The sequence below is a fragment of the Homo sapiens genome, chromosome 4 (genome assembly GCF_000001405.40).
Source record: "Homo sapiens chromosome 4, GRCh38.p14 Primary Assembly".
Taxonomy (NCBI): Eukaryota; Metazoa; Chordata; class Mammalia; order Primates; family Hominidae; genus Homo; species Homo sapiens.
This window is the reverse complement of record NC_000004.12, coordinates 5978492-6000183: the sequence shown is the minus strand read 5'-3', so window position 1 is coordinate 6000183 and position 21692 is coordinate 5978492. Positions and strand designations below refer to the sequence as shown.

General features: G+C 48.5%; 1 protein-coding gene across 7 annotated transcripts in view, besides 3 other annotated features; it reads left to right on the top strand.

Moving 5' to 3' along the window:
- Nucleotides 1-21692, top strand: part of C4orf50 (chromosome 4 open reading frame 50) — a 120960-nt gene that overhangs the window by 18363 nt on the left and 80905 nt on the right. For 6 of the 7 annotated variants that reach the window (XM_047415667.1, XM_047415663.1, XM_047415664.1 and 3 more), the window contains 4 exons: nt 5708-5837; nt 7254-7381; nt 9360-11837; nt 19846-20010. In XM_047415667.1, coding sequence (XP_047271623.1) covers nt 5708-5837; nt 7254-7381; nt 9360-11837; nt 19846-20010 — 2901 coding nt within the window. The remainder of the gene's footprint in view (nt 1-5707; nt 5838-7253; nt 7382-9359; nt 11838-19845; nt 20011-21692) is intronic. The other variant, XM_017008893.2, reaches the window with a different exon arrangement.
- Nucleotides 5193-5744: an enhancer, noted in NCBI's record as "H3K4me1 hESC enhancer chr4:5996167-5996718 (GRCh37/hg19 assembly coordinates)". NCBI's record gives its function as "activates a minimal SCP1, AML or CMV promoter by ChIP-STARR-seq in primed H9 embryonic stem cells {active_cell/tissue: H9 hESC(primed)}" and the evidence as "EXISTENCE:reporter gene assay evidence [ECO:0000049][PMID:30033119]".
- Nucleotides 5745-6297: an enhancer, noted in NCBI's record as "H3K4me1 hESC enhancer chr4:5995614-5996166 (GRCh37/hg19 assembly coordinates)". NCBI's record gives its function as "activates a minimal SCP1, AML or CMV promoter by ChIP-STARR-seq in primed H9 embryonic stem cells {active_cell/tissue: H9 hESC(primed)}" and the evidence as "EXISTENCE:reporter gene assay evidence [ECO:0000049][PMID:30033119]".
- Nucleotides 17155-17334: an enhancer, noted in NCBI's record as "active region_21247". NCBI's record gives its function as "activates an Ori minimal core promoter by ATAC-STARR-seq in GM12878 lymphoblastoid cells {active_cell/tissue: GM12878}" and the evidence as "EXISTENCE:reporter gene assay evidence [ECO:0000049][PMID:35858748]".

The following is a 21692-nucleotide window of genomic DNA, read 5'->3' as shown; positions in this document are numbered from 1 at the left end:
CTGCCAGTGCATCTTCAAAGGACTGGGAGTGACCCAGGAGGACCGAGAGCCACACGCAGGTCTTCAGCACCTTGCTCTGGACAACAGTGGTGACTGTCAAAGGATCTCCCTCCATAAGCACCCCACCATGGCTGCCCACGGCCTCAGGATCAAGTTCAACCTCCTATCCACGGCATTCAAGGCCCCCGGTGTTCTGCTCCTTCAAGCTCAGTCCCCCATATGCCACCTTAGTCACACTGAGCTGCAGGTCCCTGAGTGTGCCAGGCTCTTCTGCCTTGTAAGCCTTGCCTGTGTCTGGAAGCTTCTAGTGCCCACCCCCACTCAGGCTGTTGGAAAGCCTTGCTACTTTCTCTTTATTTGTTGGGAATGTTGCTTTCTCTGGAAGACTTCCCTGATCTCACGTCAGCTCAGTGCCCCCGAGGTGACATGAGCCACCTCTGGTGGCCCTGATGTTCACTGTGCCCAGATGCCCACTCCCTCAGCTGTGTGCCCCTCATCATCAAAAACTGGTTCACTTTAGCTCTATTCCCAGTCCCTGGCCACCAGCTGTGAAATGCTTGATGAGTGAGTGCCTTGAGGCATCGGTGAAGTTATTTGCTCCACTGCCCACGGGAAAAGGAAGCTTCTGGCTGAAGGGACTGCTTCACAGTGGCAATGCTGGGAAGTGAGGCATAGAAATGGGGAAATGGTGGGGAGGGTCTAGTCCCAGAGATGTGTACCACAGATAGAAAATCATCACGAAAGCCGACTTTCATCAACTTTTGGAGTGCTTATTGCCTGCCCAGCGTGGTAATGTGTTGCGTTCCCCACAACAAGCTTATGAGGTGGTAGAGTTATGGATTCTCATTTTGCAGAGGAGAACACTGAGGAAGGGAGGTAAAGTCACTTGCCCAAGGAAGTGGAAGCAGCAGTATCTGAAAGGAGGCACAGGCTTGGCCCCACCTGCAGTGACCCCTTGGCTATGTCTGATGTGCTCTGGGAGCCATGGTGTGAACTATGGCAAAGGCAGTCATTATAAAAGTGTGTTTCCTTTGCTTCATATTCACAAAGCACTTTCCTAAACAGGAACTCATGAACTCTGCAAGGTAGCCGGGGCAGTGCCCTATCCACAAACCTGTAGTCTGGAGGATTCCCGTAACTTGCCTGGGGTCATATGCTTCCTCCCGAGGTCACATGTTTTAGAGCAAGTTACTTGGAACCTTGATCCCCAGAGGAACGGACCACTGCAAGGACAAACCCTGATGTGGGGAGGAGTTTGGGGACAGGGTTTCTGCTCAGGGTAAAAGGAAGTAAGAACCATTCATATTTGGCAAGACAAACGTGGTTTATCTGCAGATGGGTCTGAATGCTTTCCCATGAGTGTGCACTGGGCACCTGCCATGTCCCAGGTGCAGTGAGCCAGGCATGAACCTTGCCCTCCAAAAGCTTATAGAGGAGACAGACACAGGTGCAAACCATGACACTACAGTGATGCTACGGCAGAGGGCAGCACAGGGCTGTGCCTGGCCTGGAGGGTCCCAGAGATGCTCGTGCAGAGAGATGAAAAGCCAGGCTCTTAAAAAGTCCTTGTCCACTGTCATCCCAGAGCTGAGATCACGATCCCACGTCAGGGGCTTCAGGAGTGACTGGATGATCCCGCCAGCCTCTATGCCCTGGCAGTGTGCGTAGAGTGACCCCTGGTGGCAGCTACGTGAATCTCTTTGTTGCTGGGTGAATTGCAGGCAGCCTTGCTCACTGCTTGCTTTTGTGCAGAGCAGGGTATTACACATTTGTTTCTCTCTCCAGCAGCAAGCAAGAGCTTTTAAAAAAAAAGCAGTGTCAATAATGTCGAAAAATAAAATAGGCAAAAGGGATGAACATGCAAATAATGTAAAAGGAAGTACAAAATGGCCAGTGGTCTTAATAAAAAAATATGGACAGCTCCATTAGTTAAAAAATAACGCCAGTGAGAAAAATCTCAGGATCCCGTTTTCTTCTGTACATCTGTCAAAGGTTAAAAGGGCCTGCAGCCGTGTGGTGTTTGAGCTATCAGGAGTATAAATGAACATATCCCTTTGGAAGGGCTGTCAAGCAGTAAGTATTAAATGCCTTTAAAAAAGGTTTATGCCTGAGTCTCAGCCATTTGACTTCCACAAATATATCCAAAAAGTGATTGGAGGTGCAGAAGAGTCATGTACAGTCATGTTTATCTCAGCTCTGCTTATAGTTGGTAAAAATTCGTAACAACCCAACTGTCCAATAAGAGGGAATTGATTTGATCTGGAACTATCTCCCTTTTTTCCTCTCCCTTATAGCAGAGAATATTAGTTAGCTATAAAAACCACACTGCAGAAGATCCTGTAGAGAAATGATCCTTCTATATCATTAAATGCAAAATTCACAAAGTAAAAATTTACATTTTGTATAAATAGAACTTTCGCAATGTCTATGCATAGGAAAATGTCTAGGCATAGAAAAAAGCCCAGAAGGGCCTCTAACACATTCATGTTTATGCCCGGATATCCTGATATTTCTCATTTTCTTCTTTTTGCTTATAATTGCACATGAAAGCTGAGTCCAGATTAAGTTACAGGCAAATGTTTTCTTGAGGGTTGAAATGTAGGATGGACTGATAGAGCAGGCAGGGAGGCAGAAAGTTCCAGATCAGGTTTAGAAACCTGAGCTCTGCTCCTGTGCTCCTGTCGACTTACTGTGTGACCTTGGACAAGTGACTCACCCTCTCTGAGTACTGCCTTCATCGGTTGTGACATGAAGGGGTAAACTAGACAATGGGCAATGTTTCAGTACAGCGTTGTCTTCTAGGTTGTGTCCGCTGGATGTCACTTCCTCGAGGCAGGGATCTAGGTATGTTTATACGTGGCCGTGTCACCAGCTCCAGAACAGGGCCTGCCACATAGTAGATGCTCAGCGAGCATTTTTTGAATTGCATTGAAGTCAGCCTGGGTATGATAACAATCCAAAAAATATACCACCAGTAACCATTTCTACCTTCTGCGCTACGGAGTGGTCTCCACGCTGCCTACCCAGCCTCTCCCTTTTTCTATTTATCTAGTCCTTCCTCTTCCTTCGACTTCTCTCTCTTCCTGCTTTCACTTTGAATTTCTGTCTCTTCCTTTCCCTATCCTATTCCCTCTCCTTTTCCTTTGTCATTCACCTTCTTTCACTTCGTTTCTTTGATGCCTTCTTTCTCTCTCATTTTCTCTTTTCCCTCTCACACTCCAATGATGATTTTAAGCAGCTGACAAAGTGTGCAATTCTGGTTGAGTGGGAACCAAATGGATAAAGACAAGAGGCAGCTGAATGGGACCGTGAGAACGTGGGACAGCTGCAGCAGCCAGCAAGGCCCTCTGGGTGCAGGCAGGTGGCTGTCAGGACAGGATGTCGCTGCCCAGGCCCTCAGGGTTAATAGGTTTGGGTTGAGGCTCCTGCACTGGTTCTTGTTTAAAGCTTCTGGGTGACTCCATGATGTGGCCCATGCTGAGGCCCCTGGCCTTTGAGAAGAAATGGACAAGACCCAAACCATCATACAGATCAACAGGAGGCCACCAACCCAGAGTGGGAGGAGATGAAGGCCAAAGAAGGCCTCATTAAAGATCGGCCTTTAAGCAGGTCCCAGAAGGGGAGGAGGTTGACCAGGCAGAGGGTGGGAAGAGAGGTCCAGACAGTGTGCAAAGGCTCTGAGGTGCGGGGAGAAGAGTTCCTTCCAGGAGCACAGACGTGGGTGGTGGTAGCGGGGTGGAGGTGGGGGCAGTGAGGCCGGCGGGGGTTTCTCTTTCAGTGTAACAGGAAGCGTCGAAGGGTGAGAAGCAGGGAGCAACCAGATCCAGTTTCCATTTTAGTGCCATCGCTGGGGGCTGAGCAGTGCGTGGAAGGGAGGGGCCTGGAGCAACAAGCAGAGAAGGCTTTGCCTGCAGCAGGCAAGCGATCCAGGCCCCTCCCAAGAAGGATGTGACAGCCAGGTGTCAGGAACAGCATATGGGAAGGTGCAGAGGCCGGGGAGAGCACGGACGCGCTGGGACAGGCAAGCAGGTTGCTGTGAGGGGAAGCTGGCGCAAAGCTGCAGAGGTGGGAACAAGGTGCCCAGGCAGCAATGACAGCCCATAGATGGGCACCAGCACCTAATTTCAGCATTCGTGCTGACCCTGTAGCCAGAGGGAAGCCAAGGGAAGCCTGGGTGATCAGCGGGTCTCCCTGGTAGCTGCAAGAAGAACCTGAAGGAGGTAGGAGGACCAGCCAGGAGTCCGATGCTGGGTCTGCTGAGAGAAGGTGAGGACCTGGGGAGCAAGTGAGAAGGGGACAGGGCACTTCCCTGTTCACTTCTGTTTTCTCCTGGCCTAGAGCCACACCTGGCACACAGCAGGAGCCTAATAAATGTTTTCTGAATGAATGCACTCGTCAATCTAAAACATCTACTTTTCCCAGGTTCTATCTGTCCACCCAATGATGAAACATTTATTAAGCACCTACCGTATACAGGCTAGGATGAGGGTGCAGACAGAATGAAGCCAAGTTCTCTTCCTAAAGGAGCTCACAGTCCAGTGGAGTAGTAGGTATGTGAGGCAGCCAACAGCACCGGGCTGGAGCACTGCAGTGGAAGCAGCCAGGGCTGTGGGAACCCAGAGGAGACCTGTGCCCAGCCCCTCGTGAGTGGTGGGTGACAGCTGAGTGTGTGTGTGTGTGTGTGTGTGTGTGTGTGTGTGTGTGTGTGTTTCCAGTCCCAAGCCTCTCCCCTGTGGCAGGGAGGAAGGAGCTGCCTCTGAATTATCCTGACCTGCAGCAGGGCGGCAGCTGGGGAAGCTCCACACTGTGGAGAAGTCCAGGGGACAGGGCGCTGCCAAGGTACCGGGCAGTCGCATTTGGAGCTTATTGACAGTTGAAGGACAGGACGGTCCAAACCCCCTGGGCAGACACCCTCCTCCCTGGGTGGGACATGGAAAGAACCTCTGCACAGGAAGGGTACCTTCTTCCAGGGTGCCCTGGGCTGTGTTCGGGGTGACTCACTGCCCCCACCCAGGGAGGAGGCCCTGGACCTCTGCACAGGAAGGGTGGAGCTGGGAGCCTTTGGTGCCCTTTAGGGCAGCAGTCCACTTTTTTGGCACCAGGGACTGGTTTCATGGAAGACATTTTTTCCATGGGCAGGGGGTGAGGGGGATAGTTTCATGGTGAAACTGTTCCATCTCAGATCATCAGGCATTAGTTAGATTTTCATAAGGAGCACCCAACCTAGATCTCTCGCTTACGCAGTTCACAATAGGGTTCACGCTTCTATGAGAATCAAATGCCGTTGCTGACCTGACAGGAGGCGGAGCTCAGGCGGTAATGCCTGCTCGCCTGCTGCTCACCTCCTGCTGTACGGCCCAGGTCCTAACAGGCCACGGACTGTACCAGTCTGGTCCATGACCCTGCTTTAGGGGATCTGGGTGCTTCTTGGCTGGACAGACATACTCCTCTGAGGACTGAACGCTGCCCTCGTTGTCTGTGGACAGGAGTCTAAGTGCTAAGAGAGGGCAGTTTGGCCTGGTGAACCAAAAGCACAAGGCCGGGGCTGGGCTGCCAGGCTGTGAGCTCTCTGCCCTCTGAGCCTCAGTTTCCTCACCTGTGGAAGAGACTCAAGCTCCCTTCTGGGGAGGGGCCCCTGGGGATGGGCTTGGAGTACACACTTCAGCCAGGACACTGACGGCTCCTGACTTCCTCTGTCTTCCTCCAGGATGCTCTGGGCTGTGTTCAGGGTGACTCACTGCCCCTGCCCAGGGAGGAGGCCCTGGACCCCTGCAGAAGCCAAGACTGGCGGAACTCCCTGCGGTCCAATGATGCACCCAGACAAAGGGCCCCAGCAGGTGCGCGGGTACCGCGGTGCGTGGAGGACGAGTCGCGGGCAGCACCCACTGAATGGCTAGCTCACTTCCTCCTTATCATGTCCCGATGACGCAGGGAGAGGGGGTGGTCCCCCCTCCCTACAGACAAGAATCGAGGCTCAGAGAGGTAGGGTCCCTCTATCAGGGTCACACAGCTGCTGCAGGTGGGATCAGAGTATGCAACTCCCACCAGGGGCCTTTGGCTCGGGCTCAGCTGAACACAGGCTCACACCCTTGGCCCTCGGGAGGGTGCCAGCCAGGGGGCCTCATAGGCCAGCAGGTTGGCAGCAGGGACATGCTTTCACAGAAGTCCGTATGATGGCCAGGAGCCGTCCTGTCCCCCCACTTCCCAGGTGACACCTCCAGTGTGAGGCAGTGAAAATCGCACTTGGCAGGTCTGGAAGCTGCTGGGGCTTAGAAGCCTCTTGTCCCTGATGTGAACCAATATCTCTCTCTCTCTTTTTTTTTTTTATTTATTTTTATTTATTTTTATTTTTTTATTTTATTTTTTTGAGATGGAGTCTCACTCTGTCACCTAGGCTGGAGTACAGTTGTGTGATCTCGGCTCACTGCAACCTCAAGCTCCCGGGTTCAAGCTATTCTCCTGTCTCAGCCTCCCAAGTAGCTGGGATTACAGGCTCCCACCACCATGCCCGGCTAACTTTTGTATTTTTAGTAAAGATGGGGTTTTGCCATGTTGGCCAGGCTGGTCGTGAACTCCTGGCCTTATGTGATCCGCCCACCTCAGACTCCCAGAGTGCTGGGATTACAGGCATGAGCCACCACACCCGGCTTGAGCCCATATCTCATAACAGCCTCAGCCGTGGCTTCCAGAGCCCCTGCACTCAGGGAGCCTGACAGCCACGGCGGCCAACTGGGCATCTGTGGTTTATTTCCAGCCCTCCAACCTCAAGGGCTGTTAGGGATGGTATTATCCTCCATATGTGTAGCACAGTGGTGCTGCTGACTGATGCAACCAGCGTTTTCCCTTTATCTCATTTCTGGGGAGCAGAGCTGCCATGTCGACTCAGGTCAGATGTGTCCTCATGCCAGCTGTGCAGAGCTGGGGTGAGGCTCATACCCTGTTTGACAGATGAGGATGCTGAGGCTTAGAAAGGTTTGGTGGATTTTGTCCCGTGCAGGAGTCTGTGGGCCGCAGAGGTGGCATGGAGCCCTGGGGTCTCTGCCCACCTGCTGTTGGCTATTTCACGTCTCTGAGCCTCAGCTTCCTCCCCTGACCAAGGTGCTGGTGGTCATCAGGCTGCCCTTGGGAGGCTCACAGTCGGGGGTGGGGGGGGTGCCATCTTACCCAAGCCTGGGGGACGTGGTCCCTAGAGGCGATCATGGCAGAGCCCCTGGGAGCATCTTTGTAACCCCCAGGGTCTTGTTGCTTTCCAGGCCAGTCCCCAGAGGGGCCCTGCACCTGGAGCCGCATCAGGCCTGGACGGGCCTCTTCTGTTTTGGCTCCAGGCCCGGAGACCACAAGCGAGCTCCCCAGAGACCTGGCCGGATCCAACCGTGAACAGGTGAGGCCAGAGGCTTTCTGCGTGTGTGTGCAGTGCCACTGGTTCCCCTCAGCCCTGCCTCATGCAGGCTATGTGGCCACACGCAGGATGTGGGAGGGGTAAAGAAGCTCCAGGTCTGGGAGAACATTCTGGAAGTAGTTGAGAGAGAGATTTGAGGAGAGGAAATGAAACATCCTGAGACCTGGATGGGGGGTGGGGAGGAAGGGGGTTAACTGGGTGCCAGGCCTGGGCTTCCACGGAACAGGCTTCATCTCGTTGACACCTCCTGACACCCACGAGGTGTTGCTGCCACCTCTGCTCTGGAGAGGAGATGAGACTCCAAGGGCTGCTGTGACTCCCCAAGGTCCCCAGCTTGGAGGTGGACCCCGAGATCCAGGCTCGACGGCCCACACTGCCCCATGCTGGCCCTGAGGGTCAGGAGCCTGCGTCCCAACTCACCTCCCATGGCTCGCTCTGAGGCTGAGGCAGTCGTAACCTTTCTCCACTTCCATTTTCTCATCCCTGAGGAACAGAGCTGTGCTGGGACCCGCGAGCCCGGCTGTGGTTGTGTGGTTGTAAATAGAGAGGCCCTCCATCATCTCTTCATTCATTCACATCCTGCTCACGATGTATCTCTTATTTTTGTTGTTGGATGTCACATCCCTATATGCCTCGCTCCTCACCGCCCCCTTCCCTTGAAGCCCAGGGCAATGTCTTAGAACACGGAGGTGCCCCATTTGACAGGTGAGGTGGCTGAGGCTCCAGCAGGTTAAGGAACTTGCTCAAGGTCACACCCAGGATTGAAGCCAGGTCTCTAGGTCTGTACCTTTCTGGGGCAAGTGCTCTTTTCTCTGTGGGCAGCTGGGACAGTGCCTTGGTGTCTGGATGGAAGGACATTGCAGACAAAGGCAAAGACAACAGAGGACGAGGTGCTGCCCACTGGCAGCTCCAGGGAGCAGGGATGCGGTGGCCCCTCCAGGCAGGGGCAGCACTCCTGGCCTTCAAGCCCCCTCTGCCTGAGGGGGCTCTGCTGCTGGTATGTCACCCTCCAAAGGCTCAGACCCCCTCTGTCCTTTGAGATGCTCCCTCTGTCCTTCTCTTCTGTGTCTTAGACCTGCTCAGCCTCTCCCAGCTATTCTAGGGGCTCCACTGAGAACTGCCTGCAGCCTGCCAGGTCTGGGAGGAGCCCCTGCGGACTCACAGTGAGCCTAGCTCAAGGCAAATTTCATCCTCAGGCCTCCTTCAGCCCAGCTGGGGCCTCTGCTGTGAGCTGGGCTCCTCCTCTCTGGATAAACACATCACATAAGTGAAGATAAAAATACATTAAAAATATGGAGGAAACACCTCCTGTGTGCCCAGCACTGTTCTAGGCCCAGGAGTTGAACAAAGATGAAGTCCTGTCCTCAGGGAGTGGACCACCTGCACCAGCCCCATCCATGAGAGCCTTCTGCAGCGCTGCTCACAGTCTGCATCTGCACTGCCCAAGACAGTAGCCACGAGCCACATGGGGCTATTGCCACCGTAGAACTGAATGTTAACCTTGATTTAATTACTTTACATTTTAGGAGCTCCATGTGGCCTATGACTAGTGGATTGGACAGGGCAGGGCTATAGGGGGAGTTAGATGATATAGACAGAAATATATAATATGGTGTGAGGGCATGGAGGGTGCTGTGGGAGAAGATGACATAGGGTGGATGGCCCGAGAGTGAGGGAGAGCGGTCAGGGAGGGCCTTTTCAAGGAAGTCACATTTGCATTGAGATGTGAATGGAGCCAGGGAGTGAGCCATGAGGGCATCTAGGGGAAGGACATTCTGGGCAGAGCGAAGAGCACGTGCAAAGGCCCTGGGGCGGTACCAGCTGTGTCCTGTGTGGGAAAGAGCTTGTCCCCTGTGCAGCTGGTGAGGAAACACGGAGAACCCCAGGAGGTGAGTGGAGGTGGGGGTGCTAAATGGAGGAAGGGGCTGTTTCACACCTCATCTTCTCTCTCCATTTGTAGCTTACTCTGGCAGAGCCCAGCTTGGATGAACAGATTCTTCTCCTGGTCTGTGGCTGCCCACCAGAGGAGTGCTTGGACGAGTCACTCCTCCGCATGGACCTGGCCTGGATTTCAGAGAATCTAGCAGCTGACCCAGCTGCAGAAGCCTTTCTCCTGGTGCAGACATCCGCACTCCCTCTCTGGGGGCCGGCTGGGGACTCCGCTTCTTGGCGACCACTGCTGCTCCAGGAGGTTCCCTCAGATGGACAAAAAATCCAAGAAGAGTTGGCCACCAGGTCCCCGCCTCCTCCCAAAGCCACAGGACACCCAGGCTGGGATTGTCACCAGACAAGAGGCCGCGGTGCCTCCCTCTTCCACGAGGCCCCCTACATTTCAAATCACCCATTTCTGAAAAAACACCCCAAGGATCTGAAAGACACTTGGAACAATGGAGGAGGAAGCCTTGCGGGGAGAACTGAAGAGGGGAAGGCAAGGGGGACTTTGGGCAGGAAGGGGAAAAACCTTGGTGACAAGTACCAGCTAAGTCAGGAAAGCCATCAGAACCTGAGCTTGGAGAATGGGGCTGGAGCTGCAGAGGACGTGCAGGATCAGAATGGGGCTTCAGAGACTAAGGCCGCCACCTGCCGCCCTGGGTCCTGGCAGGAGTTTTTGATGCCTCTTCTACAGGGGGAGGCCTCAGTATCAAAGGAGGGTCCCGAATCCCTGAGCAGGAGGGAAAGGGTGGAAGGATACGTCTGGGGTCTCCGAGGAGGACTGTCATCAGAGAATGAGGAAGTGGCACCCCCAGCCACCTTCTCCAGGGCTCATGAGACCAAAGAGCCATGGCCAACAGACAGTCAGCTCCTCGCAGGGAAAGTCAGAGCCACTGGGAGGACAGCTAGGGGCAAGGAGGAAAACCAAGTGTGGCTTGGAAATGCTCTGCTTCTGCAAGGAGGAAGCCTGGAGGACAAAGGGCTAGAGGAAGAGGATGAGATGCCGCATCAAGAAGCATCCGGTCTGGGGTGCAGGGGTGCCCCCGAGGAGCCTGACTCCCAGGAACATGAGAGCAAGGAAATGCTTTTCTTTGCAGGAGAGACAGGTTTGCCACTGTTTCCCAGATTTGCCTTATCAGTTGAAGGGGCCGAACCCACTGATCATGGTCATCCACAGGCTGTGAGCAAAGGACACAACAGGTGTGCACTCACAATCGATGAGCTTGCACAGGACGTGGAGGCTTGTTTCCAGCAGCTGTCCACCCTGCAGCCGGGCAGCAGGGGCTGGCAGTGCTCAGCCTCTGCATGTAGGGGAGAGAACTGGAGCTTTGCTCAGAAGTGGCACAGTGGCTGGGAGAGAGCTCACTCTCAGCAGGTTTGGGGAAATTGGGGTATTTGTTCTAATGAAGAAGCGAAGTCTAAAGAGAGTGGTGAAGGTGATAAGCCGGGAAAGACCACGGCCCTGGGCACCAGCGAAGTTCCTGGTAACCCAGGGACACTGCCTCATTGGGATGAAGCCAGCCCAAACCCTCCACAGGGGCCTGCTGAGCCCTGGGGTGCCCTCGAGAGAGTGAGGAGCAGGTTTCATCAGCTCATTTCTGGATTGAAGAAACAGAGAAGCCAGATTTTACATGACAACACCAAACTTCACGGAGACCAAGAGAGGTTCCATGAAAGAGTGTGCGCCCTTGAAAGAGAGAGAGAGAGAGAGGTGACAAAAATATCCAGGCTCGAGCGGGATAACCACAGGCTGGTAGGGGACATCTCTCAGTTAAAGAAAGAACTGGATCAATATTTACAGGCAATCTCTGACCTTGAAGACTGCAATGGGAAGAGTTACTGCAAAATTTTGGAGCTTGAAGAGGAAAATGAAACACTGAAAGGGAATCTGGGCCAACTCCAGAAAGCCACGTCTGAGAGTGTCAGGAAATCCAAAGACACGATGGAGCAAGTCACCCTGGAAAACTGGAAGCTCCAGACACTGATCTCGGAGCTTGGCGTCAGTTATAAAGAGCTGATAAAGGATATCGTGCTAGGAATAGAAGACATGATCCGGGCCTTAAGTGGGGAGAACGAGCACCTTCTACGCAGGGTCCATGTCCTGGAGAGGGAAGTCACCTTGCAGAGGAGCACGGATCAGGGGCGTTTGGTGAGGGGAAGGGAGCACCTCCAGGGAAAAGCCAAGATGCACGCTCTAGACAAAGAGGTGCAGGTGACTCCACTCACAGGACAGCTGCTTTCAAGAGCCTGTGGGCCACCCTTGGAGGAGGAAATGAGTCTGGCTGCAGGGCAGACAGGACCTTCCACAGGCACCGGGAATTCCAGACGCGGTGCTGATTCTCCCCCTCCATCGCTGGTCTGGAGAAACACTGGTGTAGCCAATGCCCTGCAAGGAAATGTCAGTGGAGCAGAAGTGAAAGAAGCACATTTGGAGAAAGAGGAGAAGAGGCCCAGGTGTTCTGTGGCTCAGGGGCAAGCTCTGAGCTCCCTGAGCAATGGCCCCATGGTAGGTTGGGTCTGCATATCTGCTTACTCATCACGCATGACTCTGTTCCGGGGGCCACCCCATTCACTTATGCAATTCACCAGAGTCCTGTGAGGGAGGTACAATCATCCTCCCCACTTACCAGATGAGAGGAGGTTGGTACAAAGAAAACAGAGAAATGCAGTCACTGCAGTCACATAGCCAGTGAGGGATGGAGCAGGGACTCACACCTGGGTGCTCTGATCCCGGGATCTCTGTTCCCACCTGCTATGGGAGATTCAAGCCTGCCCCTCTTCTTAGACTCCAGCAGGGCACCCACGGGGTGTTCACACTTTAAGATCAGCCCTTGCATTTTCCAACCCTGGGGTTTTTCAAGTGCTCCAAGTACTAATTCTGTACATTGGGTCTTGAAAGTTGCAATGAAAAGAACAATGGACTGTAGAGCATGATAAAACCAGGTTCCAACCCGGCTCTGTGCTTTCAGAGCTGTGACTTTTAGGCCACATGCAGACTTCGCTTGAGTCACTCTCCTCATCTGTGGACAGTTCTTGACTGTTGGGAGTCTTGGGATAAAACACTCATAATGTTCCTACGGTGGCCTTCACCATGTGTAGGATATTTAGCGTTGAGACCCTGGCATTCATTCATTCCATTTTCTATCTCTATTTCTCTCTCCCATCTCGCTCCACCCTCTCTCCCTCCTTTCCTGTCTCTGTGTCTCCTTCTCCATCTTTCTGTCTCTTGCTCTCCCCCTCCTGCCTTCCTTTCCCTCTTTCTCTCTTTGTCTCTCTCTTCCTTCTTTCCTTTCTCTCTTTCCTCCCCACCCCCAACAATGTTATCAGTCATTTCAAAGAATCTGTTTTTACTTTTATTGATTTTATTTATTGTTTGTATTTGATTTATTGGTTTCTTCTTAGACCTTTATTGTATTCTTTTTTTTTTTTTTTTTTTTTTTGTGAGACAGAGTCTCGCTCTGTCACCCAGGCTGGAGTGCAGTGGTGGGATCTCGGCTCACTGTAACCTCCACCTCCCAGGTTCAAGCAGTTCTCCTGCCTCAGCCTCCCAAGTAGCTGGGGCCACAGGCACATGCCGCCATGCCCGGCTAGTTTTTTGTATTTTAGTAGAGACGGGGTTTCCCCATGTTGCCCAGGCTGGTCTCGAACTCCTGAGCTCAGGCGATCTGCCCACCTAGGCCTCCCAAAGTGCTAGGATTACAGGCATGCGCCACCGTACGAGGCCTTATTATATTCTTTCTCCCACTTTCTTTTGATTTAATTTGCTGTTCTTTTTCTTGCTGCTTGTGTTGAAAACTTAGGTCATTGATTTTCAGCTGTTCTTCTTTTGCAATCTATGCAATTAAAGCTATAAATTTCTCTCTAAGCATCCCACACATTTTGAGATGAAGTCTGTTCAGTTCAAAATAGTTTCTAAGGATTAGAGGTAAGGAATATGTACTGCCTATCTACTATGTGCCAGGAAATTTATATACTATCATTTATTCCTCAAAATTGCCTCAAAATGACATTGTTAGGGCCAGGCATGGTGGCTCATGCCTGTAATCCCAGCACTTTGAGAGGCCAAGGAGGGCGGATCATGAGGTCAGGAGTTCGAGACCTGCCTGGCCAATATGGTGAAACCCCATCTCTACTAAAAATACAAAAATTAGCTGGGTGTGGTGGCATGCACCTGTAGTCCCAGCTGCTTGGGAGGCTGAGGCAGGAGAATTGCTTGAACCTGGGAGGCGGAGGTTGCAGTGAGCCGAGATTGTGCCACTGCACTCCAGCCTGGGCAACAGAGCAAGACTCTGTCTCAAAAAAAAAAAAAAAAAATGACGTTGTTATAGCTAGCCCTGTTGTATTGATTTAGAAATTAAAGTCCAAAAGGATGAAATAAAAACAAGCAACAACAACAACAAAAAACCTAAAATAGCTTCTAATTTCTATTATGATTTCTTCTTTGACCCATTGGGTTATTTAGAAATATGTTGCTTGATTTCTAAGCATCTCTGGAGTTTTTCAGTTATACATTTGTCCTTGATTTCTAGTTTTATTTCATTGCTGTCAGAAAATATACAGTATATTATTTTAGTCTTCCAAAATTTGTTGAGACTTGTTTTATTGACCAGGTTGTGGTCTATGGCCAACAGTATATCCCACATACCCTTGTAAAGAATGAACATTGTTTGATTGTTGTATATCAATTAGGCCAAGCTGGTTAATTGTCCTAACAAAATCTCTTCTATCTTTGCTGATATGTTGTCTATTTGTTTTGTCATTAACCAAGACATGTTTTAAAATCTTCCACTCTGAGTGTGCATTTGTGTATTTCTCTTTTTAGTTATGTTATTTAAAATCTATATGTTATAATGTTCTTTAATTTTTATGTATTTATTTATTTTTGAGACGCTGTCTCGCTCTGTCACCCAGGCTGGAGTGCAGTAGTATGATCTCAGCCCACTGCAACCTTTGCCTCCTGGGTTCAAGTGATTCTCCTGCCTCAACCTCCCAAGTAGCTGAGACTACTGGCACCCACCATCACGCCCAGCTAATTTTTGTGTTTTTTAGTAGAAATGTGGTTTCACCATGTTGGCCAGGCTGGTCTCAAACTCCTGACCTCAGGTGATCCACTGGCCTCAGCCTCCCAAAGTGCTGGGATTATAGGTGTGAGCCACTGTGCCCAGACAATTTATTTTATTTATTTACTATTTTTTCTATTTGTCTCATCTGTTCTGTTTTCTTTTATTCTTTCTTTCCTCCCTTTGTTTTTGGTATTAATTATATTTTGTTATTTATTTTTTTTCTCCATTAGCTTATGTTTTAGTATTATTCTTTTAGTGGTTACCCTTGGCATTTCAAAAATGTATCTAGTAACTATTTAAATTTACTTTAAATTAGTTTTCTTTACCATGTCCCAATTAATATAAAAATTTTTCAATAGTTTAACTTCATTTAATCTTTTTACTTTTTATTATTTATTTTTGTTATATATTACTCCTATGTAGAATAAATCTTATAAGCCACTGTTATTTTAAACAATCATATATTTTTCATTTACCCGTATCTTTACATGTTCTTATTCTGTTCTTTCTTTCTTACTCTTCTGTGGCTCTGATTTCCTTTTGCCCTAAGAACTGTGGGATTTTTTGTAGTGATAATTTTCTGGTGATTAATTTTCTCATATTTCTTTTTATGAAAACAATTTTTTAACCTTCATTAAATTTTTTTTCTTCCCATTGGATTCTGAATTTTAGGTAGCCAGGTATTTCACTCTTTTGGCTCTTTAAAGATCTCATTCCATTGTCTTCTGCCTCTCATAGTTTCTGTCCAGAAATCAGTCATAATTGTCATTGTTTTTCTCCCTCACTCCCCCTAAAATAAATGTGTTGTTTTATCTCTGACTGCTTTTATAATTTCCTATTTATCTTTGAGTTTTGGCAGCTTCACTATAATGTGCCTAGATATGGTTTTATTTGTTTTTGTCCTGCTTGTTTTAATTTTTTTGTTTGGTTTTTTTTTTTAGCTTCTTGAACTTGTGTATTTTTGTCTTTTCTGTCAGACTTAGAAAATTCTTGATCATTATTTCTTCAAATATTTCATTCTGTTCTATTTTTCTTTCCTCTCCTTCTAGAAATTCAGACTTTTTGGCTTTATTTCACATCTTTCAAAAATCCTGTATCAGTTTTAAAAAATGTGTGTTTCTGTTTGCATTTTCTATTGACCTCTCTTTTAGTTCACTAATCCTGTATTCTACCATGTCCCACCTTCTGTTAAATCTATTCAATGAGTTCTTAATTTCATTTATTGTATTTTGCAGTTCTAGAATATCAATTTTATTCTTTTAAAAAGAGATTCTGGTTCTCCGTTGAAATAGTCCATCTGTACATCCATTTTCTTTATTTTTCCTATGTTTTAAAAAATACATAGATCATAATTATTTTGAAGACCTTGAGGGGTTTGGTTTTGTTTTGTTTTTGCTGCTAACACCAATATTTGGATCATCTCTTTGCCTGCTCCTATTGACTATTTTGTTTAATGGTGAACAGTCACATTTTTCTGCTTCTTCATGTCTAGGAATTTCAAAAACTTTTATGTTGGACATTGTGTATAATATTTTATGAAGATTCCTGATTATTGTCTTTCTCCAAAGAATGTTGAGTGAATTTTATTCTGGCAGATAGTTGCGTGATCAGCAGATCATCTTATTCTTGTGTAGGCCTATTTAAGTTTTGCCCTCAGACCTAGTAGGGCTTGATATTACTCCTAAGGTGAGGCCCTTGCTCTTAGGGCATGGCCTCTCAGTGATATCAGCTGAGTTCCACAGCATTCACCAAGTGCTCTCCATTTTGGCTTTGCCAGAACTCTGCAATCTTCTCAGAAGTGTGTGACCTGTGACATCTCTTCACCAATTAACCTCCAAGCTGCTGTTCTTTGCAAGGCTTAGAGTCTTCTACTGTGTCACATAGCTTGTGATTCAGCCAAGGACCCAAGGGGCATTTCTAGGACAGTATTTGGACTTTCATTCTCTGCAGCTATCTCTTCCCTGTTACTTTGTCCCACAAACACCAGCAGTCTTAGCATCCTTAAACTCCAAGCTCTATTTCTCCATCTAGCAGGACCAACACTTTCAGCTTGGGCTCTATTTTCGAGACCATTGTTTGGAAAATATTTCAGAGAGAAACCCAGGGAAAATGTGGAGCCTGCCTTGTTGTGCAGGCTTTTTCTTAAGGATTGTGACCCTGTACTAGTCATCTTCCAATGCCTGCAAAGCATTACTTGTATATATTCTCCCCAGATTCTATAGTTGTCCAATACCAGTGAGTAGGAGTGTGGAAATCTGAGGAGTTGAATGTTGAGCTGAGACTTCGAAGGTTAGAAAAGAGCAGCGAGGAAGAGCATTCCAGGTAGAGGGAAAAGCGAGCGGCCAGGCCTTGAGGCAGGACAGAGGCTGGCTCATTGGAAAAACAGAAAGTAGTCAGCGTGGCTGGATTCCAATGGGCAAGGAAGGGTGTGGTGTGAGATGAGGTTGGAGAAGCTGTCACAAGGCAGGTTGCAGAAGGCTTGCAGGCCCTTGTTTGGATCTTTTCTAGATGTGGTAGGAAGCCAACAGAGGGTTTTGAGCAGAATGATGTGACCCAGTTTATACCGTGAAAAGATCTGTCTGCTCTAAGAACAATGGTTCGGGTGGATTGAAGGAGAACAGCTGAGAGGAGTCGGTGGCTGGATAGCCAAGAGGTGACACTGGGGTTGAGGAATTTGCAGTGAAAAGTGGAGCTGGAGTCCACGGGACTTGGTGATAGAGCAGAAGTCACCAACACCTGATGTATTACTCTTTGACCGAAAACCCTCTGTGGCTTCCTACTGCACTGGGCATGAGATCCAAATTTCCTACAGTGAGCAGTGCTCTGGCCCCTGAGACTCTCGGGAGCTTCCACTGTTGCTGCTTATACCCCCAGCCTCCACACTCCATGCTGCCACCTCTGCCCTCATTCTTCACCTTCTTCATCCACCTCTCCCTGCACCCAGCTTTCTCCTCTAGGTCTCCTGCTGGGGGGCCTCTCCTCCAGAAAGCTTCCCCCCACCCCCAGGCTGGTTCTGTGCAGAGATGAGTCAGAGCCTACTCATGTGTGTCTCCTCCCAGCTCATGTGTGTCTCCTCCCAACTCTGCCTTCAATGATACCATTTTGGTAGCTTGCAGTCAGTCATGGTGGGAATATTCACGCCATGGAAACTGGCAAATGCTACAAATTGGTACTGTCCCCCCAACCCAGATGTGGTTGTTGTACAGTTGCCACCCCCCAACTGGATGATGTCTCTGTTCAGTGCCCCCTTCAGGTCATCACAGCCTCCTGGCTTCCCTTTATCAGGCTGTATTGAATGTTGAACTACCTGCCTGTCATTCTCCACACCCGCCTGAGCTCCTGGAGGGCAGCGTCACCACCGCCCATCTCAGGCCAGCGTACACCCTGCCCATGTGCTCATGATGTCTGCTAGACAGCAGGAGACTCTCTGGGCAGCTCACAGGGCTGCTGTGTGGGGTGATCCCATGGGACAGCAGGCTGCCCACCCCCCACCGCACAGCCATTCTCTTTAGAGGATACCTTGGTGCTCTCTGAGGACCCATGAGACGAAGCTCTGGTCCAAGTCACTGCCAGAGGAGGGAGGTAGAGGAGGCAATGTACTTCCCAGAAAGGCCAAGTTGTTTTGACGTCTTGAAGCTGAATTTTACGGGACCATTCAGAGCACCCATCTGTTCTTAACACGGCCCAGCCCGTGCATCTCAGGCCCATGTCGTGTATATTTCTATTAATTAAAAAAAAAATCTTCTGCTATTGTATATTTTATTATGAGAGATGCCCCAGCAGCCCTGGAGTCACCTGAATTCTTCCTTCTCCTCCTCTTCTCCCTCGTCTCTTTTTCCCAAGCAGGGTAGCTTGGGATCCCCCTCCTACCTACCCCTGCTAGGTCGGGATGAGTTTTGGGGGCCTTACAATTCCCAGGGAAGCTGCCTTACAGGAAAAGGGAACTGCCATCACAAGGGGAAGGGAGTTTGAGAAGCGTTTGAGTTTCTGGGCTCCTAAATCTTCACAAACGGAACTTTTAGCAGTGCTGTTTCTTCTAAGGCCGCCTCAGCAGCATGAACCAAGAGCTTAAAGATGCTCATGTCGGGCCGAGCATGGTGGCTCATGCCTGTAACCTCAGCACTTTGGGAGGCTGAGGCGGGTGGATCACCTGAGGTCTGGAGTTCGAGACTAGCCTGACCAACATGGAGAAACCCCGTCTCTACTAAAAGTACAAAATTAGCCGGGTGTGGTGGCACATATCTGCAATCCCAGCTACTCGGGAGGCTGAGGCAGGAGAATCGCTTGAACCTGGGAGGCGGAGGTTGCGGTGAGCCGAGGTCATGCCATTGCACTCCAGCCTGGACAACAAAAGCGAAACTCCATCTCAAAAAAAAAAAAAAAAAAAGATACTCACTTTGTTCACCTGGAAATACCCCCTGATGATCTCAGGGAAAGCATCAGAGGTATGTCTAAGTATTTATGTACAAGGGCCTTTGTCACAGTTCCAATTATAACAGCAAGATGTTAGAATAATCCGAGTGTTCAGCACGGCCACAGGAGGCTGCGTATATACTAATAACAGCATTTTCAACATTATTTGGTAATATGGAAAAACGCCCAGAACACGGTGTTAAGGGAGAAAAGCAGAAAACAAATATATCATATTTTAAATTTTATATAGAAAATCTGTGTTAGTATGTATGTTTATGTGTGCTTGTGTGTATATATGTATGTGAGTTATTTAAAAAAATAAGAATTTAGACTTCAAAACCATTTGGGGGCAGTAGCACCTCTCCCATTTTGCCACACTTCCCACAATGCAAAGCCAGCCTGTTCCCTCTCACTGTCCTTCCTCCCAGAAATTCCCTTTGGCATCTGAATGAAACCCGCTAATCTCATGTTAGATCCAAGAAGAGTGACAGGCAATTGTGTATTCATTTAAGAAAAGTGCCTGTGGGAGACACAGTATCTTCTGTTTCATATAAATATATTATGCTTTAGCATAATAGGCATCTCATAATTTGATTGGAACATTCAATTTCACTCATCACACTGTTTCAGTATAACAGTGACTGGCATCTATTACAGCAGATTCTGGAATGCCACCCCACTGCACATATTTTTGAAGCTAATATTCCAGGCTGTTATTCTGGGACTCTCCAGGCCCTCCCCAACACCCACCTCCGGAAACCAAGCAGAACCACCCACTCCTATACATGCACGTGTCTAGGGACTTAGCAGGAAATCTGCAGAAAATCTATGGATAATAAAGATTCTACAGGATAATCAGATTGGGAGTGATTTCTGCTACCTTATCTTCTAAAACTTACTGTAAGAGAAATATAAGCAGGAAAACAACAACAACAAAAAAAAAAACTACGGAGTGGGGAAACGGGTACCGTTTGTTGGCTAAGGCAAATTGCTTGAAGGATAACCTAAACATTTCATTCAAATCTGTGATTTCCGCAGCTCCGGGACTCAGAGGCCGAGGTTACTGAGGAGGATCCCAGGCTGCGGGCCCAGCAGCTCCATCACCGGGTGCTGACCCTGCAGTGCCAGCTCAGGGACCAGGGCGCTGCCCACCAGGCGTCTCTGGACGAGGCCACCCGCCTCCAGGAGGAGCTCCAGGCCAAGGTGTGGGAAGTGCTTTCTTTCCCCTCTTGTCAGCCAGGGCTCCCACACCCCGGGGCGTTTTGGGAGTGAACAAAGATTTGCTGAGGTCTTCTTGACCCAGCCAGTTGGGAGCAGGTACTGGATTTTTAAAGTATAAGGCAGTACCAGGAAAAAAAAAACAACAAAAAACCACAGGCTCTATGATTGCTTCCCTGTTAAATTTAAAAAATGCACATATGTGGTTTCTTTAAAAAGTCAAGCAGGCTTACAGTGTCATATAAATAAAAGTCAAAGCCTTTCCTCTGTCAGAGGGAAGTAGGCGTGACTATGATACAGTGGTGCAGGTGCAAACCTATACAGGTACCAGAATTGCACGGGACTTAACACGCAGACACACACGTTTAAAACTGGAGAGATCTGAAAAAGATCAGTGAATTGTGGCCATTTCAATTCCTGGTTGTGACATGACACTATAGTTTTGCAAAATATTCCCACTGGGGGAAACCGGGCAAAATGTTCAAGGTACACTCCAGCCCAGGTGACAGAGCAAGACCCTGTCTCTAAAAAACATGTACAAGAGGGCTCTGTATTATTTCTTACAACTGTCTGCAAATCTTAATCATCTAAAATATAAAAGCTTTCCTTCTCCTCAACCTTAACATTTTCTGACTTCCAATATTTTTTCAACTCTACCACCCACTTTCTGAATGTGTGTGTATGTGTACATGTTTGAAATTATACTGTACAAAACCATGCTGCATCTTCATTTTGTCATTTAATTAAGAATCTTGTGGCATTTTCATATCAACACATGCAAAGTGAACTCATTCCTTTAAAATCGTGTGTATTATGTCATCATGAGGCCAAATCATAACTTATTTAATCAATTTTTCTGTTTGTGGAAATTCAAGTTGTTTCCATTTCTTTGCATTACAAACACAGCTCCAATGAACATTTTTATTTCTCTCTCGGCATATACTTCTGCTGTATATCTAAATGGCAAATTTCTAGCAAAAGAAAGGATATATAAATCATTAACTGTGATAGGTAATGGCAAGTAACCCTCCAAAATGATAGCATCATTTATACTCCCACTAAGAAGAAACAAGTCTACTCATTTGCCCATAACTCGTTATCCTGAATGTTAGCAACTTTACAATTGTTGGACAAGTCAATGGATGAAAAATACAGCCTCAGCATTACGGTATAATTTCCAGCTCTTCTCCCATGTGTTCTTTGTAAGATCAAAGCATGTTATATGTAGAGTTTTATGTTCATTTGCCCATGTGGCTGCATAGTCCTCATACATATGATTATTTGACTGTGTGGTAATCTATGATTGTTTGTGTAGTAATCTATTGGGTGGATGTGGTTTCCTTAACTATTCCCCAATTGTTGCATCTAGAGCATTTCTATGAACTTACACATAACTGTTTATATATAACAGTTCAGAGAGCTGGGACTACTGGCTCCAAAGGTGGCAATATTGTTGATTCTTAGCTATATATCACAAATTGCTTTCCAAAGTAGTGGTATCCACTTCCATGCCACCAACAATAAATGAGTGTGTCTCGTTCACCGTGTCTTCAACCAACACAAGAGCTAGTATTGCTTTTTTCTCTTATCTGTCACTGGCCTGTGGGGAGGGGGTGTGTGTGGAAACTTCAGTTACACATGAATTAGACTTTAAGTATATTTGAAAT